This window comes from Homo sapiens, chromosome 3 (genome assembly GCF_000001405.40).
Source record: "Homo sapiens chromosome 3, GRCh38.p14 Primary Assembly".
In the NCBI taxonomy this organism is placed as follows: Eukaryota; Metazoa; Chordata; class Mammalia; order Primates; family Hominidae; genus Homo; species Homo sapiens.
In genome coordinates this window covers 173282892-173287733 of record NC_000003.12, presented here as the reverse complement: position 1 = coordinate 173287733, position 4842 = coordinate 173282892, and the positions used below count along the sequence as shown (strand labels likewise).

The 4842-nt window shown below is 38.0% G+C and overlaps 1 annotated feature.

Annotated features, from left to right (window-relative positions):
- Nucleotides 551–1051: an enhancer, noted in NCBI's record as "H3K4me1 hESC enhancer chr3:173004473-173004973 (GRCh37/hg19 assembly coordinates)". NCBI's record gives its function as "activates a minimal SCP1, AML or CMV promoter by ChIP-STARR-seq in primed H9 embryonic stem cells {active_cell/tissue: H9 hESC(primed)}" and the evidence as "EXISTENCE:reporter gene assay evidence [ECO:0000049][PMID:30033119]".

Below are 4842 nucleotides of genomic sequence, written 5' to 3'. Positions count from 1 at the left end.
AGTCAACTTTCCAGCCCTATTCACTTGTATGGGGTACAGCATGTTTGACAAGAACATTAATTAAACATATGCTTAATTAATAACCACCCAGAGGTACCTTGACCGTTGTAGTGGAGAGGGTTGAAGTCAGGCAGGCATTAGCTAGCTGACTAGCAGAGATAGAAGAGATAACAGTTGTGCCAAGGAAGGCTTTCTCTGCCTGAGTCTGTTGTCTAATTGACTCAGAGTCTAATAGCTTGAGGCCTTATTGGGTTGGAAAAGCCAACTGCCTTAACAGGAGACAATTGTCACTTTAAACCAAACAGTTCGAGGTAGCACAGTTTCAAAAATCAGATTAAGACTATTGCCTTCTTATTTAAGGTTTTTTTTTTTTTAATTCGTGTGTGTGTGTGTGTGTGTGTGTGTGTGTGTGTGTGTGTGTGTGTGATCCAGTAGCTGCATTTAAAATGAGACAGGGAAATGAGCTGAGCTGATTTTGTGGAGTTCATTTAATAAATGTGAGTTGAAAGGCTTAAAAATCTGTCTAGATTGAATCTTTGGTTTGGGGCACTAATATGAAATTTACTAGAAGCAAAGAGGTTCTGAAGCGATTGCACTTTCAAAAGCAGCACAGCCTGGCCTACCAAAACCTGTGTGTGTGTGTGTGTGTGGTGTTTTGTTTTGTTTGTTTGTTTGTTTACCTTTAAATAAGTCCTAAAGCAAATCCTTATTCTCCAAAACCTTACCAGCAGAAAATGGCCATTCCAAAATCCTAGAGAATCATAGAACAAGAAGAAAAAGAGAACCTGGGTCCCTGGATGACATGGAGAGAAAATGCTTACATGTTCTGCAGGCAAGTAAGAGAGAAATAAATTTCAAACTTGTGTGTGACTCACTGTATTGGTCTCTCTCTCTCTCTCCCTCCCTCCCTCCCTCCCTCTCTCTCTCTCTCTCTTTCTTTCTTCTTGATGGAGTCTGGCTCTGTCACCCAGGCTGGAGTGCAGTGGTGCAATCAAGGCTCACTGCAAGCTCCGCCCCCCGGGTTCGCGCCATTCTCCCGGCTCAGCCTCCCGAGCCAGCGCCCGCCACCCGCCTGGCTAATTTTTTCTATTTTTAGTAGAGACGGCGTTTCACTGTGTTAGCCAGGATGGTCTCGATTTGGCCTGGAGTTTTCTTTTTTGAAAGGTTTTTAATCATTAATTCAATTGTTGTAGTAATTACAGTACCTTTTGTACTGTCTGTTTCACCTTGGATGATGTTAGCAGGTTTTGACTTGTGAAGAATTAGTCCATTTCATGCAAATTTATATGCATAAGTTGTTTGGAATATTCCCTCAATATTCTTTAATGTGCTGGGGGTAGGTGGTGATATTCCCTCTTTTACTTCTTTTCTTTTTCGCTTTTTGTTTGTATGTTTGTTTGTTTGTTTTCTTTTTGAGATGGGGTCTCACTCTGTTTCCCAGGCTAGAATGCAGTGGTGCAATCATGGCTCACTGCAGCCTTAACCTCTTGGGCTCAAGTGATCCTCCCACCTCAGTCTCCTAAGCAGCTGGGACTACAGTCGTGCATCATCATGCCCAGATAATTTTATTTTATTATTATTTTTTTTTGAGACAAAGTCTCTTTCTGTCCAAGCTAGAGTGCAGTGGCGCGATCTGGGCTCACGGCAAGCTCCGCCTCTCGGGTTCATACCATTCTCCTGCCTCAGCCTCCGGAGTAGCTGGGACTACAGGCGTCCGCCACCACGCCCGGCTAAATTTTTGTATTTTTAGTAGAGACGGGGTTTCACCATGTTAGCCAGGATGATCTCCATCGCCTGACCTTGTGATCCTCCTGCCTCAGCCTCCCAAAGTGCTGGGATTACAGGAGTGAGCCACCACACCCGGCCCTTTTTTTTTTTTTTTTTTTTTTTGTGGAGACTGGGTCTCATGATATTGCTGGGGGTGGTCTCAAACTCCTGGGATCAAGGGGTCCTCCAGCCTTGGCCTCCCAAAGTGCTGGGATTACAGGTGTGAGCCACTGCAACTGGCCATTGACCTCTTTTATTTCTGATGTTGTCATTTGTATCTTCTCCTTTTTTATTATTCTGCAGTTTTGATGAAGTTGTATCAATTTTATTGACTTTCCAATGACTATATTTTTACTTTCTATATTTTTACTGATTTAAATTGTATTTCTATTCTTTATTATCTGCTTCCTTTTGCTAAATTGGTTTTATTTTGTTGTTGTTGTTTGTCTTCTTTCCAGTTTCTTAATGTGGAAATCTATACTACTGATTTGAGATTTTGTTTTAGGATTAAGTACTGAATGCTATAAATTTCCCCCTAAACACTGATTTGGCTGCATCCAACAAGTTTTAATATATCGTATTTTCATTTTCACTTAGTCCAAATTTTTTTCTTGAGACTTTTTGACCTTGAATTACTTAGAAATATAGGTAATATTTATTAATCTATCTTCAAATTCACTAGCCCCACTGTTATTTCCATTCTGCTGTTGAGCTTTTAATTTTCAGTTATATTTTAGATCTAAATTTTTCATTGAGTTTTTCTTTATATCTTCTATTTATCTGTTGAGACTTTCTACCTATCCACTTATTTCAAGAGTGCTCACTATTATTTGCTGCAACATTTTGATAATAGGTCCTTTACATCTTTTGTCAAGTAATTTCAATATCTGTTTTGTGTTAGAGTTGGCATCTGTTTATAGTCTTTTTTGTTGTGAGCTAAGATATTCCTGATTCTTCAAATGCTCACTAACTTTGTATTCTATCTTAGACATTTTCTTTTTTTTTTCTTTTTTTTTTTAAGATGGAGTCCCACTCTGTCCCCCAGGCTGGAGTGAGTGGCGCAATCTCGGCTCACTGCAAGTTCTGCCTCCCGGGTTCCCGCCATTCTCCTGCCTCAGCCTCCCGAGTAGCTGGGACTACAGGCACCCGCCACCATGCCTGGCTAATTTTTTGTATTTTTTAGTAGAGACAGGGTTTCACCATGTTAGCCAGGATGGTCTTGATCTCCTGACATCGTGATCCACCCGTCTCGGCCTCCCAAGGTGCTGGGATTACAGGCATGAGCCACCGCGCCCAGCTGACATTTTCAGTATTTTGTTTAAGACCTTGCATCTTGTTTAAATCTTGTTAAGTAGGGGAAATGTTGGCATTTTCGTTTGGGTTGGCAATTAACAAGATTATGTTCAGATCCTTCAAGCGTGTGCTGTGATTTTAATATCAGTTCAGTTTTAACGTCATTGTAATGCTATTAAAAACTATCCTGTGTAAATACCACTCAGTTGCCTGTCTGGGACTAACAATACTCTCTCCATGAGATCAGTTCTCAAAGCCTTTGGCATGCTTTTTAGGTCCAGTCATCCCATGTACTTCTCAAGAGTGAGCTCAGGGGATCATAAACAAATTTGTGAAGTTTCTTTCCCGAGCTCCTTCTACTCCATGATCTCTGCTGCACTTTACAGTTCCCTGAAGCTCTCCTTTTTTGTGCTTTGTCCTCAAAGCTGGATGTTCAGTTATATTTTAGGCTGAAGAAATTCTAAGCCAGGGTACAGAGTATAAAAGACACAGGTTACCAAAAAAATTCTCAAGAAATTAACACTTTTAGAATCTGAAAGTTTTCATAATAAGAAAACCCTTTTACTATTCGTTTGAATAGCAAGTATTTCATAATGAGAATACCAGGTTGTGGACATACACACAATTATATGCTAGCCTTTGTAGTCTGCAGTTTTCACATATAAGGAAAAATCTAAAACTTTTTAAATGAGTTGATTGACTTTAAATAAAATTTGGGTATATTTTACATTTGGTGCCTCTAACATTCTTTTCTCCTGTCCATTGTTCTCACCTTCTACCTCTAAAGCCTATTCTTCGCTTCTCTTCTTCTCTCACCTGCAGTTAACTAATTGCTTAAAAAATCAGCAGATTACATTTTAAGATGTTATTTCTCCCAGGAATATTTGCATTTCAATAAGTTTCCCTTGTAGTTGAAATCTTTGAGACCCAAAGGAATAAGTCTTTAATGATGAAAATGAAAGGTCAAGGGGTGAAGCATTTAGTTGCATAAGCCCTTTATGCTCTCCTGTATACCTGCTCGTTTCAGGGAAATCCTTTCATTCATCTCACATGGGAATGAGATAAAAGAGACAAATAAGGAAAAACACAAATACAAGTACAAGTTACTTGCAGTGCTTCTAGATATCTTTCCTAAATGTTATTACTCAAGCAATTTTTTTCCCATATAAGTAGGTGAAAAGGTGAAGCAATTTACATATCATTTTATTACTTCATTAACTATAACTGCAACAGTGTGAACTGTAAAGTAAATGTGAACATTCTGGAAAAGTACTTAACGTATAACAATGCATCTACATGTTTCTATCTACATTTATGATTATTTAATATAATCAACTAATTCTGTTTAATATGAATATATTATACAATTTTCCTATATACAAATTGGCAGATTAAATTTAATTAAGGCTATTTATTGAAAAAAATACAGTACCTTGTAAAACTAGGGCCAAAATTTAATATATACATTTGCCAGTGTGCAATGCATTTTTAAAATCTCATACCACTTTAAATCCCACATAAGTATGTATGTGTGTATATATGTATTTGAATATATAGTTTATTTTATATAAATGTAAAAGATTATACAAATACACTGCAGTACCTCCATTAAAATTAAGATTTTTATCATAATTTCAGCGTATAAAATTGACAAAGGCATAAACATTCACAAAGCAAAAATTTAGAAAAACTCAACCATAGGATGTACTTGGGGTTTTAGTATACCTGAAAATTAGCATGAGCCTTCTAAGTAACTTGACCAGCACACCTATCCAGCATCTC